General features: G+C 37.8%; 1 protein-coding gene across 3 annotated transcripts in view; it reads right to left on the bottom strand.

The window, feature by feature from the left end:
• The window catches only part of GTF2F2 (general transcription factor IIF subunit 2), a 164,384-nt gene that overhangs the window by 118,425 nt on the left and 27,139 nt on the right, over positions 1-18,820 (bottom strand). For all 3 annotated transcript variants that reach the window (XM_011535052.4, NM_004128.3, XM_011535053.4), the window contains exons 3-4: positions 16,681-16,699; positions 14,638-14,782 (exon numbers count right to left, since the gene is read on the bottom strand). In XM_011535052.4, coding sequence (XP_011533354.1) covers positions 14,638-14,782; positions 16,681-16,699 — 164 coding nt within the window. The remainder of the gene's footprint in view (positions 1-14,637; positions 14,783-16,680; positions 16,700-18,820) is intronic.

The following is an 18,820-nucleotide window of genomic DNA, read 5'->3' as shown; positions in this document are numbered from 1 at the left end:
TCTATTCTGTCATTTCCTTATCAGCCAAATCCCTCAAACAGTTCTGCAGAAAGACTGCATCATGTCTTCATAGTAACATGAATGACTTGACGAAGTGCATCTTCACCAGGGGATGCTATAACCTATATAACTGCAATCCATGGTGACTTCTGATAGAGTTGGACCATAAACCAGAAAACAGAATGTATTTAAAAGGGAAAAAATATCAGAAAACACTGAAATTTAAGCATCACATAGTTCCCAGTGACTAGATCTACCATGATATTTTGGAATTGTTAATTTTTTTAGGTATCATAATGACCTTATGGTTATGTATTTTTCTAAAAAGGAATTTGTATGAAGAATGTACTGAAGTAGCTGGGTGTGGTGGCTCACGCCTGTAATCCCAGCACTTTGAGAGGCTGATGCTGGCAGATCACCTGAGGTCAGGAGTTGGAGACAAGCCTGGCCAACATGGTGAAACCCCGTCTCTACTAAAAATACAAAAATTAGCCAGGCGTAGGGGCGGGCGCCTGTAATCCCAGCTACTCGGGAGGCTGAGACAGGAGAATCACTTGAACCTGGGAGACAGAGGTTGCAGTAGGCCGAGATCACACCACTGCACTCCAGCCTGGGTAAGAAGATTGAAACTCCGTCTCAAAAAAAAAAAAAAAAAAAAAAAAGAATGTACTGAAGAATTTAAGGATGGAATGATATGCTCTCTGAGGTTTTCTTTAAAATAATCCTGTGAGGTACACAAAGGCAGTGACTGGGGTATAGCTGAAACAAGAATGACTATTTGCCATCTTCACAGGAAGATGAATGATAGGTATATGGAAGTTCACTGTACTATTTCTCTACTTTTGCATATGTTTTGAAATTTTCCAGAATGAAAAGGTTAAAAGCGGGCGGCGGGGGGGGGCGAGGGCAGTGGAAAGAAAGGTTTATTTTCTTTCCTGATGAAAAATCCTACAAGTAAATCTTCTCTACTAATATACAGCTGAGAAATCGGTCACACTTCAATTTTATACTTCATTTTTCTCTTTACTGTATATGAATCTTTAAATTTGAACTTAAAGAATTAAATTAAGCTGAGATTGTGCTACTATACTCTAGCCTGGGCGATAGAGCAAGACTTTGTCTCAAAGAAAAAAAAAATATATATATATATATATATATTTTAGATATAAATCTAATGGATAATGGGTATATATTATATATAAATATACATTTTTTCCATTCTATTTCTCCGTTTTTTCCATTCTATTCCACATATATATGAATATATAGATATCTATATATATTTTTTCCATTCTATTTCTCTTTATTTCTTAATGTTGCCTAGTACCTCACAAATTGATTCTGCATCCACACTGTGTAAGTGCTCATCATAGCAAATAAAATAAGTGCTCAACAGGTTACCTATATCTGTCCGCTTAATAAAACAGCTATAGCAGCTATAGCGTAACAAGATCATTGCTTAATAAAGATGTAAACATTGTGTATCTATATGCCATAATTAAAACTTCCTTCAATTCTTCCAAACAAATAGTTATGAGAATGTAAAATGGTTCTAGGCACTTTGTATCAGAACCAACGTAATCAAGAACACAGTTCAAGTGTAGGTCTCTAATCCATTTTTTGGTAACCCTTCCCATTCTGCTGTGATGCAACTTTTTGTTGTATAGCCTTTTTACCAGCACTGGGTACCCCAAAAGTGACACTAGTAATGCTGAGGGAGAAGGAACTACTATTTTTTTTTTCCAGACAGGGTCTCACTCTGTCACTGACACTGGAGTGCAGTGGCACAATCACTGTACTCACTGTAGCCTCAACATCCCAGGCACAGGTGATCCTCCCACCTGAGCCTCCAAAATAGCTGAGACTACAGGTGCATGCCACCATACCCAGCTATCTTTTGTGGAGATAGGGTTTCACTCTTTTGTCCAGGCTGGTCTCTAACTTCTGGGCTCAAGCAGTCCACTCACCCTGGCCTCCCAAAGTGCTGGGGTTACAGGCATGAGCCACTACCTGGCCACTAGGGCTGCTACTTCTTTACTTGAAAACCTTCAGTAAATCGACATGTTTTATTGCTTTTTAAAAAAATAGGTCAGTTTTAAAGTCTTACCTTCTTTTCTTCTTTGTTCCAAGGGAATTACTATACTAGTGCCATCACCATATCAACAGACTACCTTTCTCTTTTTTTTTTTTTGAGACTGTCTCACTGTGTTGCCCAGGCTGGAGTGCAGTAGCACAATCCTGGCTCGCTGCAACCTCCACTTCCTGGGTTCAAGTGATTCTCGTGCCTCAGCCTCCCAAGTAGCTGAGATTACAGGTGTCTGCCACCACGCTGGACTAATTTTTGTATTTTTAGTAGAGACGGGGTTTCGCCAAGTTGGCCGGGCTGGTCTTGAACTCCTGGCTGGAATTACAGATGTGTGCTGAGGAGCTGGGATTATAGATGCGCACCACCACACTTGGCTAATTTTTGTATTTTCAGTAGAGACGGGGTTTCGTCAGGTCAGCCAGGCTGATCTCAAACTCCTGGCCTTAAGTGATCTGCCCACCTTGGCCTCCCAAAGTGCTGAGATTACAGGCGTGAGCCACCACATCCAGCCCTCAATAGACTACATTTCTAAGTGATAAAAATACAAAGGCAACCAAATAACCTGTCTCTGTTTTTATAATGTAATGCTATACTGCAGAGGGAAAAATCAGTTACATGGCATTTTTTACACTTTAAATTTTGATAATGGTACCCTTATGCTCAAAGAACTAGAGAAAAAATCATGCTACTATAACCTTGAATGAGGTTTTTAAAAATAGTGGCAATGTTATTTGAAAAAGCCAAAGGAAATGAAATTTTTAAAATTAAAGTATTTTAAAATTACAATTGTTTCAATTACTTAGTTTTAATACCGCGACTAAGTAATTTACTTTTTTTCTTTTTTTTTGAGACAGAGTCTCACTCTGTCGCCCAGGCTGGAGTGCAGTGGCGCTATCTCGGCTCACTGCAACCTCCGCCTCCTGGGTTCAAGCAATTCTCCTGCCTCAGCCTCCAGAACAGCTGGTGCTACAAGCGTGCGCCACCATGCCTGGCTAATTTTTTTTATTTTTAGTAGAGATGGGGAATCACCATGTTGCCCACGCTGAAGTAATTTACATTTTAATTGATTTTACTAAGTTAGGTTTGGTTTTACAAAGAAACCAAGTTCTTCCTAAGATCTTAAGTATACAATGAATCAAAACAAAGAACCGACTTTATAAACTGGAAGCTACAGAAAATCAAAAGGAAGAAGAGAAATATGTTTGTATAGCCTGTCATTTTCTCCAGGTATGACACAAAAAAATCTCTACTCAAGCTAAACACTGGACTTCCACAATTGTTAGAAATTTGGAGCACATTGCCTAACACATCTCCAAGGAACTTGGTTAGTTTCCACCAGTTAAACTATAAAGATTTTGTTTTGAGAATTGCAGACTAGTCATAATGAGTCACAATAATACACGCCAACTCCAGGACAACAGTTACCTCTAGCAAGTGAGGTAAGGGTTAGGGGGTGGGGGGTGGGGAGAAATCTAAAATGTTTTCTAGCTTTAAAGAAATATGGCAAATGTCAACACTTATGAAATACAGCTGTTAGGCATAGGTTAAACTATTCACTATACTTTTCTGTAGGTTTGAAATATTTCACAATTAAAAACTGGAGAGTAAATCATAAGTTTTAATAAGTTTGTGATTCCAAACCTTAATATTATCCTACACTGCGGTTTCTTTTAATCCTCCTCATCCCAACCTCAGATTATTAAAGCTACCACATATTTATGCATGAATACCTGAATATGAAGAGTGCAAACACTGCTTTTACAAATCTCTTTCTGGCCACTAAATAAAGGAACATTTTCTGCTATTAGGTTTAACTTTTCAGAGAGCAGACCTGGCTCAGGCAGTTGGCAGTAAAATACAAAACTAAATCTCTGCAGTCAGTCACAACCTTGGTGGCAGTTCAGGAAATAAACACTAAACTCATATATTTTTGTTCCTGTTTGTTCCTCCTCACAAGTATAAGATTGTCAGAAGCTGGTATGATTCCAAATGTTCAGTGGCAAGGCTGTTACTCAAAGGAGTAAGCAAAAAACAGAGCTTCCTTACTCCTTCCATAGGGCCTTTACTAGCGGAGTGAGAAAGAACCACTAGCTGCCAAAGTGAATGGGACTTGAAGATGGCTGCCCTGTGAAATGCAGTGATGAAAGAGACAAGCTGGAGTCACCACAGAGCATCTATCCAGGCAGACCTAGCAGGATTTCTATTACCTACTTAAAGAGACTGTTTTAACATATATTTCTAAATATCAGGAAATAGGGGCTAGTCACACAATCTCTTAGAGCTTCTGTCATATCATCTGCAAAATGAAGATTTTTTAAAAGTCCCTCCCTCGTGGAGTTGTGAGGAGAATTAAATAAGATAGTAAATACAAAGACAGGTTGTATTTACTATCTTATTTAATACAGATTTATTAAGACAGGTTATCCACCAACAGAAGTGGAATAAATACCTAAAAGTGTAAACTATACCTAAAAGAAATAGTTTAAAAGTGGTTCAAATCTGGTTAAAAAAATATGTACTGTATTCATTTTTTCTTTTTGAGACAGAGTTTCGCTCTTGTTGCCCAGGCTGGAGTGCAATGGCATGATCTCGGCTCACTGCAACCTCTGCCTCCTGGGTTCAAGTGATTCTCCTGCCTCAGCCTCCCGAATAGGCGGGATTACAGGCACTCACCACCACAGCTGGCTAATTTTTTGTATTTTTGGTAGGGACGGCGTTTCACCATGTTGGCCAGGCTGGTCTTGAACTCCTGACCTCAGGTGATCTGCCCACCTTGGCCTCCCAACCTGCTGGGATTACAGGCCTGAGCCACGGTGCCCGGCCCCTGTATTCTTAAAACCAACAATAAACACTGAAACAGGCATGCAATTCAGTGTTACGCATGAGGTTCCCCTAAGAAGCACTGGGGGGAGGAGTGTCTCTATTAGGTAGGCCATCCCAATAAAAAGTGATCAACACTTCACCAGGTATTTTAAAATGGAGCTTGCAATCTTTTCACACTACCACACACTAAATTAGCATTCTTCAAAGTATGGTCTATAAATCCCCAGGGGTCCTCAAGATCATTTGGGTGTCCACAAGGTCAAAATATTTTCTTAAAATATTTAATTACCTTTTTCACTGTGTTGATATTTGCCAATAGTGCAAAAGCAACGGTGGGTAAGGCTACTGGTACCACCACAAATTGAGGCCAAATGGTACCAAAACTGTATCACTGTTTTGCTACTACACTAAAGTGCTAGGTGTATTCTTCACCACCTAGCACTTGCAATTTTTTAAAAAGTCTGTTTCACTTCACAATGTCCTTGATGAACAGTAAAAACTGTTTTTATTAAATTTCAACCCTTGAGTATGCATCCTTTAACATTCTGTGACACCAAATGGCAAATGCACATGAAATGCTTCTGCTGGACACTAACATAAGATGATTGCCTCAAAGAAAAGCATAGTTGCAACTGTTTGAGTTGAGTGCTGAGCTAGCTACTTTTGTTGTGGAAGATCATTGTTACTTGAAAGAATGACTGACAGACAAAGCATAATTATTCAGATTTGGGTATCTGAAAGATATTTTTTCAAAAATCAATGAAAAAAGCCCATCCTTTAAAAAAAAAAAAAACAGCTGACAGGATTTGTTGTCATTAATAAAATTCAACTTTTTAAGTGAAAATTAAAGTCTGAAGAACTTGTACCTATCACCATAAACTTAACAGCTCCCCTATATTTAAAAACTTTTCTGATAAAATCAGTAGTGATGCTAATGAATGTAAATTTTTGATATTCTATAATGAAACGTGTCAACATTCAAAAGAACTACATAATTCAGGAAACCAATAGTCTCCAGATGATGGATGTATGATGCTACAAAATCATGTCTGGGTAAGAGATTCATTCCAAATACAAGACAGACCTGTGAATTTAATGTAAGAGAGTAGAAAAGGTTTGCTAATAGTTTCAGATTCTATACTGCAAGTGACCTTTAAGAAACTACCACTTGCAGAGTTTTAGTGTAGTAGCAAAAGAATGTCCACAACTATCTGAAAATGCTACTAATTACTCCTCCCTTTTCCAACTATGTATTTATAAGAGGTAGATTTTCTTCAGATACTTCAACCAAAACAGCAGATCTTTACAGATTGAATACAGAAGTAGAGATGAAAATCCAGCTTGTCTTAAGCTGTCAGACATTAATGATGCCTGCAAAATGGCACTCTTCCCACTATTTTTTTGGAAAATCGATTTTTAAATAAAAATGTTAGCACATAATGTATAAAAGAGCCCTGAGACCAAAAAGTTTAAGAAATGCTCCATTAAAGTGACAACAGTAATTAAATTATGATAGATAAGGTAAATAAAGCCTCAGAAAGTCCCACTGCATATGCAGCTGGTGATAATTCAGGAAACAGAGTGTAATTCATGTTTTAAACCAGTGACAAGAAAAAAAGTTCAATGAAAAAGTACTTTGAATGCTTATAAGCACACATATAAAGAAGGCTTAATTCAAACCTCTCAAAATCATATACCTGATATGATATTCCCCCAAAAATAAGGGAAATGCACCAAATTAATGTTTCCCATTAGCACCCAACAATCCAACTTAAAAATGAAAACATGGCCAGGCATGGTGGCCAACGCTTGTAATCCCAGAACTTGGGAGGCTGAGGCGGGCAGATTACCTGAGGTCAGGAGTTTGAGAACAGCCTAGGCAACATGGCAAAACCCCGTCTCTAATAAAAACACAAAAAATTAGCCCGGCGTGGTGGCGCACGTCTGTAGTCTGTAATTTTTTGTATTTTTAGTCATGTTGGCCAGGCTGATCTTGAACTCCTGACCTCAGGTGTATTCTGCTACTTGGAGTATTCTGCTACTCGGGAGGCTGAGGCAGGAGAATCACTTGCGCCTGGGAGGCGGAGGTTGCAGTGAGCCGAGATCGCGCCACTGCGCTCCAGCCTTGGCAACATAGTAAGACTGAGTCTCAAAAAAAAGAAAGAAAGAAAACGCTTACCTTTTTCATTTACTATACTTGCAGGACAGTACCATACAGGACAGATTATAAATTCTACAATTTCAGTTAAGTTTTCAAAAGACTGGTAATTCAGCATCTTCAAAGAGCACTACCATTGCTATACATTCTTCTTCAAATACAAACTAGTATGTTCTTAGTCATATGTGTAATTGGTACATGTTACCAAATTCAAGCTTGAAAGTAAATACCTACCATCAGTGAACTCAGCTGCTACTTTATCTGGGGAATATGTCTCATGACAATATGTAGAGTGGCTAACCAAGTGTCACAGAATATGGTACTAAGCTAATCTGATTAGCCAAGAGAAAGTTTAAAAAATCACCTGTGCCAAAATATAATGAGCAAAAAATAAAGTGAGGAATATTCGATTCTGAACCTCAAGTGTCTTAAGAAAACCACTTTGAATCAAGAATATCTGAAGGGAGACTAGCCATCCCGTGAGTAACTAAAACAAGCTATCTCACTTGAAAACCATTCTAAAAAGTACCATTAGAGTACTACTAATTCTTAGGAGGAAATAAATGATTTCAACATGTTTGCTTTAATGAACCCATCACTCTGTGCTCAATCCCAAGCCACAGATGTGCTCAATGCTATACTAGGCACCGTGGAGATAACCATGAGATACAGTCCTCTGCCCACAAGGTTTAATAATGGGACAAAACGAGCTAACCTACTGCCATACAAGTCTAAATGAAGGAAGAATCAACAAAGGCTGGATCAGAAAGAGAAGGCTGATTATGACTATAGAAGACAAATCCCTGACAGAGGAAAAAGAAGGGGAAAAACAGAGGTCACTGTGCAGGAAAGTATGGTAAAGGTAAGAGATTTTCACAGATGGGGCTGGAAAAAGGCTGGGGATGATGGGTGGAGTTTTCAGAGGGTTGCTTTGGATTAAGTGGTGTATTAGTCTGTTTTCACACTGCTGATAATGACATACCCAAGACTGGGTAATTTATAAAGAAAAAGAAGTTTAACAGACTCAGTTCCACATGGCTGGGGAGGCCTCACAATTGTGGCAGAAGGCAAAAGGCATGTCTTACATGGTGGCAGACAAGACAGAATGAGAGCCAAGTGAAAGGGGAAACCCCTTATCAACCCACCAGATCTCATGAGACTTATTCACTACCACAAGAACAGTATGGGGGAAGCTGCCTCCATGATTCAATTATCTCCCACCAGGTCCCTCTCACAACATGTGGGAATTATGGGAGCTAAAATTCAAGATGAGATTTGGGTGGGGACAGAGACAAACCATATCAAGTGGTATCCAGAAATGTGTATATGTGATTCCTACTACAGAAACAACAAAATGACCAAATACGAGAAATAAGAGGAGGCTAAGAATTATTATGGCCAAGACAATAGAAGAATAATGTATCACTGGCAGAAACATGGATATATAGAGAAAAAGGAAATGGATAAATGAAATTTGATTTTCTATTTCCTGGTTTCAGGTAACAAATCCAAGTGGCAGACTGGGCACAGTGGCTCATGCCTATAATCCCAGCACTTTGGGAGGCCGAGGCAGGTGGACAGCTTTGCACGCAGGAGTTCGAGACCAGCCTGGGAAACATGGCGAAACCCTGTCTCTACAAAAAAAAACAAAAAAATAAAAAACTAGCCAGGCATGGTGGCATGCGACTGTAGTTCCAGCTACTCGAGAGGCTGAGGTGGGAGGACTGCCTGAGCCCAGGATGAGACCCATCTCTCCCCACCAAAAAAAGAATCCAAGTGGACTGTCTGTTAACACAACTAAAGATATAAAGCTGGATATCAGGTGAGTGAGTAGATCTCTGTCACTGCTACCACTCTAATCCAAGCTTCTGTCATGTCTCCCCTGGATTACTATAAGAGCCTCCCGGTTCCAGCCCTGCCCCGACTCCATGGTCTCTTCTCAACCTACCAGTCAGAGTAGGTCTTTAACATGTAAATCAAATTATATCACTATTCTGCTTAAATCTCTCCAGTGACTTCCCACTTCACTAAAAGTAAAATCCAAAATACTTTTTATAGTTTAGAAATCTTTTCATGATCTGCCACTGCCAACATCCACCCTTCTTCCCTAACCTAATTAGCCCACTACTCTTCCCCCTTGCTCATCTACTTTATCCACACTGACCTCTTGGCCACTCCGTGAACATGCCAGTCTTGTTCCCAACTTGGAGCATTAGTCATTACTGTTCTCTGTCTGCCTTAAAAACTCCTAGCTGGCTAACTCACTCCACATGGCTACCCCTTTTGCCTCCTTCAAGACTGTTCAAATTTCACCTTCTCAATGAGGTCCCACCCCCAACCTGATACTCCCGAGCCTACTTCCCACTTTATTCCCAGAAAATTTATCAACTTCTAGCCAGCAATATAATTTACTTATGTTTACTGTTGTCTCCTCTTAGTAAAATGTAAGCACCACAAGGGCTAAGCCTTTGCTTGTTAAAGCATCCCAAGCCTAAAAGGGGGCCTGAAAAAACCAGGCACAAATGTTAATTTATTGAATTAATGAACTGCTACAAAGGCGTCAAAGATAATGAAAAATGAAAGCAAAAAAGTCACTGCGTTATCAGCTCTAAGCCTGCCCATTTCTTTGAATATTTTCTAATTCAGTAATGGTTTCACTATCCCTCCAGATGCTCAGGCCAAAAAAAGCACGGAAACCACTCTAGGCTTCTCAATCTTCCAATTTCCTCACAGCCGATTCATCACCAAAAGCTGTCAAAATAACCTCTAATTCTGGTCGACTTACCTGATGGCAAAAAAGATTAAAAAAAAATTACCTCTATTATCCCATGTTCTATCTTTTCCACTCCCATTGCACCAATTAAAACTTTTTTCATCTCTAACCTAGTCTGTGACATCCACAGCTAAGTTTTTTGCTTTAATGAATTTTTATTTAATGAACTTTTAGATAGCTATGACAGAGGATGACAGGTAAAAGAATGCCAAGTGAAGAATTGGATCCTTGAAGGCTAGAAAAATGAATTTATCCTCACTATCTTTCATCCTATTCATATACTTCAAGGTCCAGCTCAAATATTATCTCCACTTCTGAAGCCAGTTCCCTCAGGCAAAGTACACATGCTTTTTTCCTCTTTGTACATATCTCCATTAGAGCATTTGTAGCATTTATTCACTTACCAGTTGCCTCAGTGCACAGGAGGCTAATCTTATTCTAGCACAGGGCTTAGCACCAAAAATATCTATTGAACAGATGAATGAACATTTTTGTCTAGAGTTGGCAGTTATAAATAATAATATCTAAGAGCCAGACATGGTGGTGCACGCCTGTAGTCCCAGCTACTCAGGAGGCTGAGGTGGGAGGATCACTTGGGCCCAGAAGTTCAGCCTGGGCAACACAGTGAGACACTGCCTCTAAAAAAAAAAGAAGAAAATCTAACTTTGAATAAAAGTAGGAATGCCAAAGAGGATGCCAAAGGCAGGAAAAATAGAAATGATCTATGGTTACCAATAAATAGTAAATACAAATACTAAACTGAAGACCCAAGGCAGGGAAATGTAAGGCCAAACACATGAGGTATTTCCACAGAGATAAGGGTAATGGATAAGCGAGCTCCATGAAAATAACAGAAAAATATTAATAGATCATTTTGAATTTCATAGAGGAAAGCAGAAGTGGAAGAAAGGGTAACCCAAAATAGCCCATAAAAATAAAATATATTCTCTCAGACAGGAACACTGAATTAGAAAGAAATTAACTGAGTTCATAAAATGTTGATGACATGCAGATTATTTTAATTAATGAGAAAACACTGTATAACTTAATCATTAGTCTCCTCTAATTCGCTCTCCCTAAAAGATACCCAGTGTGCCAAATTCAATCATTAGGAAAATGGGCTCAAAGGAGACCTCTCAAAAACCAGCAAAATCACATTAACAGGAGTAAAGTTATTAAAACTAAAACTCCTAACACACTGAACTAAAATGTGGTTTCAAGTTTCCTTACAAACTCTACATTTTATAGACCTGTGCACTAATAAAAAGAAACAAAGAGCCTAGAAAAGCAGGTACAGTTCTATACTTGATAGAAAATGTAGAAATATCCCAGATAATGCCTACTTCATTTATATTTCAATGTAAAATCAACAGCTTACTCCCTGTAAAATGGCTTAGTCACTTATACTTTGGCAGGTTCATGACCAACCAAGGTTAAAACTAGGGTAGTGGTTCTGTAGCTTTTCTGGGCCACAGATTCCTCTGAGATTCCAATGAAAGCTCTGGTACCATCCTATAGAAAAGAACGCACATATACAACATACATCTAACATTTTAAATATGTCACAGCAGTCACAGAGCCCCTGCTACTATTTATGACTTCCTAGAGATCCAAGGAACCCACTTGTAGAACTGCTGCTTTAATGACTAGAAATAACAAATACATAAGACTCCTCAGAGGAGATAAACTACTAAGAATTCTAGAGCTTTTTTCTTGGTCATGCAGGCAATTGAGAAACATTTAACATAAAAATCCCTACTGGCTGAATTTTACCAAGTGATATACATCCAGATTGAGCTAAAATGCATGCACTTGCCTTAAAATAAACTTAAAACCTAAAGTGTTTAAAAATAAGGTGTAATATTAACAACAACAGCTAATATTTGAGCATTCATTATATACTGAGCATTGTTCTAAGTGTTTAAATGTATTCATATTTATATATAAATGTCAATAAATTATCCTTATTTCATAAATGAGGAAATTAAGGCACAGAATGGTGCAAAGAGAATCAAGGAACAATGACTTGAAACAGAAATAATGAGGTTAAGAAGCAAAAAATTGTTATAGTGTATTATAACTAATAGCAACTTAGAACTGCATTTGTATTATCACAGTTCTATAAAGAACATACTGTCCAAGCCCCAGAATAAGGATGACAATCTTAATTCTCTTCCATATCCCTGCCAAGATAATCCTTATAAAACCACATTCCCTTTAGAGAACACTGTAGCCAGAAACGTGAACACGAAATGTTCAAAAAGAGCACAACACTGAAGTATTTTTAAAATGTAAAATGGAAGACTAATTTTGAGGCTAACAAATGTTAGCTTTCTAAATTGCTGTCTTTGTAGAAGTACCAGAAATAAATCATGCTTTCAAAAAATTAGTCACTTAATAAGATGTAAAAAATCTGAAATAGGGTACTTTTTTCTACAAAAAAAAGTTCAAGTTTCTCTACCTCAAACGTTTATCAAGGCAATGACTCCTTTTTACTGTCTTGGTGCCATGCCTCTTCCACTCCAGGGACAATCACAAAAGTAGAGAAAACCTCACACGTTCAACAGATCTTATTAAATCTCATCAATCAAAAGGAATAAAGTTGTTGAAACTAAAACTCTTTAACTCTTTTTTTTTTTTTTTTTTTTTTTTGAGACTGAGTCTCCCTCTGTTGCCCAGGCTGGAGTACAGTGGTGCAATCTTGGCTCACTTCTACCTCCACCTCCTGGGTTCACACAATTCTCCTGCTTCAGCTTCCTGAGTAGCTGGGATTACAGGCACCTGCCACCACGCCTGGCCAATTTTTTATTTTTAATAGAGACAGGGTTTCACCATGTTGGCCTGGTTAGTCTCGGACTCCTGGCCTCAGGTGATTTGCCCACCTTGGCCTCCCAAAGTGCTGGGATTACAGGCATGAGCCACCATGCCCGGCCAAACCTAAAACTCTTAACATACTGAATTCAAATGTGCTTCTAATTTCAGACAAATTTCAGAATTTTAGATAGGCCTATACTATGCCCTGAACTATGTAGCACGCAATAAATATTTGTTGAAGGGTTGAATCTTCAACAGTATAAAATGGATATACTGAAGATACTGTTACTTTAACATTTTCTGCCTCCCATACTACTACACTACTAATTATCAGAGCATCAGAAAACTGCAATGAAACCAACCTTCTACCTTCAACTACATAACTGAAGAGTTATAATTTACCATTCTGTTATACTGTACATCCAAGAAAAAAAAGAATAATTTTTTAGATCATTTTATGTAGCTATTGGTAATCTAAGATACCACAAAAAAAATTCGGCCGGGCCCGGTGGCTCATGCCTGTAATCCCAGCACTCCGGGAGGCCGAGGCGGGCGGATCACGAGGTCAGGAGATCGAGACCATCCTGGCTAACACGGTGAAACCCCGTCTCTACTAAAAATACAAAAAAAAAAAAAAATTAGCCGGGCATGGTGGCGGGCACCTGTAGTCCCAGCTATTCAGGAGGCTGAGGCAGGAGAATGGCGTGAACCCGGTAGGCGGAGCTTGCAGTGAGCCGAGATCTCTCCACTGCACTCCAGCTGGGCGACAGAGCAAGACTACGTCTCAAAAAAAAAAAAAAAAATTTACGAGGATGTTCCTTTTTTTAAACAATGGTGTTCTTAACATACTATAATTTCTTATAGCTTTCTTTGAAATGCTTGATGAAATACAACAAAATCACAAATGTTTTCTTTTGTCAATAAGCTTTTTGAACTAGATAGGAGAAAATTAGCTCCATTAAGCTAAGGTGGCCTGTTGCTTTAATAGTATTCTAAACTCAGTGACAGATAAAAATCCCAAAACAAGGAAAATATACTCAAGCTGAGTGTGTGCCACAAGAAAGTTCTCTCTGTATTTAATTCACAAATGGAAACATTTGCTTCTGATCTATTGAACTGTTAAAATATCTCATTGCAAACACATACAATCTTAAAACTCTACGCAGAAACTTCTTGGAAGCCAGTGTCAATTAAAAGTTATCTCTATGCAATAAAAAGGCCCTCTTGGTATACAAAGCATACAAGTTGAAAAATTCAGACTAAAATATTCCCTAATATCAAACTGTATTTTTTAAGTACAACTCATACTTGCTGAATATCAATTTACTAAAACAAGCAAGGATGACCTTATCTTGGCAAAATTCAGAATACTATTTCTTCAACATCTTAGAAGGCAGCTTGATGAACCACATTCTTCCATCTGCTTTGTTCTACATCTTCATATCCCAAATGGAAATTAAACCCTTCTCAAGTAATGGCCAAAATTTCATTAATCACAAGAAAGTACACAGAGCAGAGAAGTAGCATAGTATGAATAACAGAGGTAGACAAAATGAGAGATGGAACAGTATTGGTAATGACCTTAAAAAAGCAAACAGGAGGCTGGGTGCGGTGGCTCACGCCTGTAATCCCAGCACTTTGGGAGGCCAAGGTGGGCAGATCACCTGAGGTAGGGAGTTAGAGACCAGCCTGACCAACATGGAGAAACCTCGTCTCTACTAAAAACACACAATTAGCCAGGCATGGTGGCGCATGCCTGTAATCCCAGCTACTCGGGGGGCTGAGGCAGGAGAATCACTTGAACCCAGGAGATGGAGGTTGCAGTGAGCCAAGATCGTGCCATTGGACTTCAGCCTGGGCAACAAGAGCGAAACTCCATCGCAAAAAAAAAAAAAAAAAAAAAGCAAATAGGAGTGTATGTTGAGACAGAAAATCTATACAAAATGTACAGGAATCACATTAAATAATTCCATTCCCACTTACCTGATGAGCTCTCAGTAAATACTGTTAATGTCTGTCCTCCAACACTTTGCAAGACAAATGGATGTTCTCTAGGAGCACTGACTGAAGCTGGTTTTCCACCAATATCATGAATATTTGCAAGATCCTCATTCAAAGTAAATGACACCTAATAGACACATTAACCAGAGATTATAACAGACTTCTGTATTCAAACTATATATATATAAATTTTTGTTATAAATCAAATTGTTTTTAAATGTGTTTTCCAGTCATTTCATTAAACACTTTATTAAAAACTCCTTAATACTTGGTCATAAAAAGAGAATATAAACTGGACACATTGGTGCACACCTATAATCCCCGCTACTTGGGAGGCTGAGGCAAGAGGATTCCTTGGGCCAGGAGTTCCAGGCTGTAGCTCACTATGAACAGCCATTGCACTCCAACCTTGGCAACAAAGCAAGACCCTGTCTCTTAAAAAAAACAAAAGAGAGAAAGATAATCTATTCCCATTTGTCAGAATAATGGGGCTAATAAAAAAATAACAGAATCACATCCTTTGCAGCAATGATGCAGCTGGAAGCCATTATCCTATGTAAATTAGCGCAGAAACAGAAAACCAAATACCACATGTTCTCACTTACAAGTGGGAACTAAACATTGGGTAGACACGGACCTAAAGATGGGAACAACAGACATTGGGGACTCCAAAAAGAGAGAGGGAGAGAGGAGACCAAGGGTTAAAAAACTACCTATTGGTTACCATGTTCACTATTTGGGTGACAGAATAAATATCAGCCCAAATCTCAGCATCATGCAATATACCTATGTAACAAACCTACACATGTACCCCTGAAATAAAATAAAAATTACTAAACATAAGAAAATAAAAAACAAAAACAAAAAGAATAATGGGGCTAATCTATCATTATAAAAAAAGACAGTTTTCATGTTTTCTCTGGTCTGTAGCTGAAGAAGTCTCCAAAACAGGAGTAAGATTATTTTTTCTGGCTGGGCGCAGTGGTTCACACCTGTAATCCCAGCACCTTGAGAGGCCGAGGTGGGCTGATCACTTGAGGTCAGGAGATTGAGACCAGCCTGGCCAACATGACAAAACGTTGTCTCTACTAAAAATACAAAAATTAGCCGGGCATGACAGAATGAGACTCCATCTCAAAAAAAAAAAAAGATGATTTTTTTTTTTTCCCTAAAATCTCTGAGGTCTGAGGTCAAGGGATCATGTCTTACTATCTTTTATATCTTTAAGATCTAGCAGAGTGCCTGGCATATAGAAGGAAAATAATATTGCTGAATAAGTGAATATTTTAAGAATATTAAGAAAGCAATTGTACTTCAGATGGGGGGGATGAAGTGAACTATTTACTCTGAAAAGCTTAAACACTCCCATAAACAGAGGATGTATTTATTTTGTATGTCTTAATGACAACTGTATGAGTACATGGTATTATTTTTGATTGTTTTAACAAATACAACTCAACAGTTAAAAGGATAGCTCAATAATAAGGTTTAGAATAAAAATACATACTAGGTGTTCTTTCAAAATGCTTTTTATTATATACCAGATCTCCCCAAAAGAACATCACATTTTACACTAAACAGACTTATAAACAAAATTACTCATCTCCCAAGCATGTAGGAAGATTATGAAGTATTTATTAAACATCTCTACTATGTGATAAGTATTGTAAATCACAAACTGGCCTCAATGGGTCAGAATCTAAAGTTCTCAAAAAATCCATATCAAATGCCTTTGTCACACTGAAGTAATACTAACGTATTAGTAAAGTATTACAGAAGTTTTACTCAGTTTCATGGTACCAAGAGAGGGGAAATGTAGGTCAAAGAAGAAAAATGCTGAGAATGAACAACTAGAAAAGGGTCCATTCATTCACACAAGGGTGGCATTTATACCTTTATGTGTTCTTAACCATCAGCCATGCACTTGATGTGGAGTTTTCCAAAATTCAAACACTCTTTTTTCACTATTATTAATGAAAAGATAGTCTCAAGTTTTAACTAAAATTTCCATATAAATAATCTTACCTCAGTCCTTCCTTGAGTCCTAAAGGAGAGGAAAAGAAATATTTAAAATAATTTAGATTTCATGTTGTTTTCAAATGTGAGTTAAGAGCTTAAAAAAAAACTTCATATTTACATAAAATATTACATTTACAGAGATTAACCAATATTTACCCTTGACTCCCCACAACTATCCTATTTATAACCTTATGGGAAAAATAAACTCACATTAATCACACATCATTATTTTGGATATTATGAGTTTATGTCACTTAACACTATTATAACCTCTGCTAGTTCTATTTTATGCAAATAATGATCTTATTACAATTCTTTTTTCTTTTTTACATTTTCTTTTTCCCTTTTTTTTTTTTTTTTTGGAGACAGGGTCTCCCTCTATCAACCACAGTGGCCCAATCATGGCTCACTGCAGTCTTGACCTCCTAGGCTCAACTGATCCTCCCACTTCAGCCTCCCAAGTAGCTGGGTCTACAAGTGCATGCCATCACACCCAGCTAACTTCTGTATTTTTTTTTTTTTTGTAGAGACAAGGTCTCACCATGTTGTCCAGGCTGGTCTTGAACTCCTGGCCCCAAACAATCAGCCTCCCAAAGTGCTGGGATTACAGGTGTGAGCCACTACACCCAGCCTTATTACAATTCTTATCTTTATTTCTGAGCATTTTTGGCATTCAGTAGCATGTTAATACATATATAATACCAGATCTATACAGTACTTCATCAAATTTTACTACTCATTTTATCTAGCTGAAGAGGTTTCATTTACCTAACAAAATCTTAAAGATCAAGTTATTAAATTTAATAATTTAAATTATGAGCAATTTTCCTCTATTATAAAACAATATATGCCCACATATAAATATTTTTAATACAGACGAGCAAAAAATAAGTTTTAAAATAGCCACAATTCCATTGTTAACATCTTGGTGCAGTATCTTTCCACACTATTTTCTATATACTGTATTTGAATTACGTTTTTAAATTTTAATTTTTTTTACAAAGCAAAATCAATGTACATCCTATATAAGAACTTAATTTTTTAAAAGTATGTATTAAATACCTCTTACATGCAAAGTACTGAGTTAACCCTGTCCCAGCCAGCAGAAGGAATAAAAGGTACATCCATAAACTATAAAATAAGATAAATTTTAATGTTCAATTAAGGGAGCCACAATGCACCAGGATCAGACAGGAAGAAGCCATTTCTTCCATTTTAAGAGTTAAGGAATGACCCAACAAAGACGGAACTCTGAGCTCAGCCTTAAAGGGTACTAAGATTGCAATAAGTTGAAGTGGGGAAATACAGTACCAGAAGTGAGAATTGAACGAAAGTCACAAAAGGGTCTGATCACAAATGAGTGATCAGACTTGGCTAGAAGGGAAAGGCAAAATAAGAAAGGGGAGGAGATAAACTCTAAAGGGGCTCAACCATAGAAGCTCTTGAATATCACAGTACAAAATACAGACTTTATTCTTTGGGCAATGGAGATCTGTAGATATTGTTTGACCAAAAGAATAACAAGTACAAACATTTCCTACAGGAAACTTGCACTAGAAAATATATACAGAGTAGACTAAAGGTGACTAGAGATAGGAAGACCAATTAGAAAACCACTGTTTCTCCATAACGTTCAGTTTGGTTCCAACCTGCCTTCATTCACTAGCTCAGTTAATCACTCATTCTATTATGAAGGGTCTACTATATGTCCACTATGCATTGTGCTACGTACATGGTACAGTATTAAGTATGGATCCTTGACCTCAAGGAAGTCCCAGTTTAATGAAAATAGACACGTCCAATCATAAACAACTACAAATAAAACAGTTATATCTTGCCATAACAACAAAAACTTTATGGCAAAGGTATATACCATAAATGTACCTGTCATGGAAATGCAAACTGGAAAGCCAGGAAAAGAAGTGAGTGAGGGATGAAGTCGAAAACATGGGGGATTTCCAGGCTAAGGGAATAGCCCAAATGAAAAAAGAAAGTATCTAGCACATTCTTTCTGACACTAGTGAATGGCAGCCCAGAGTCAAATGGTAAAGAATCACTTAGGACAGACTAAGGATTCCAGATTTTTCCGCAGATTTGTTTACTGTAGGACTTCTCAGTCTTTTACATATTAAAATGCAATGTCAGT

The sequence above is a fragment of the Homo sapiens genome, chromosome 13 (genome assembly GCF_000001405.40).
Source record: "Homo sapiens chromosome 13, GRCh38.p14 Primary Assembly".
Taxonomy (NCBI): domain Eukaryota; kingdom Metazoa; phylum Chordata; class Mammalia; order Primates; family Hominidae; genus Homo; species Homo sapiens.
This window is presented reverse-complemented; position numbering and strand designations above follow the sequence as displayed.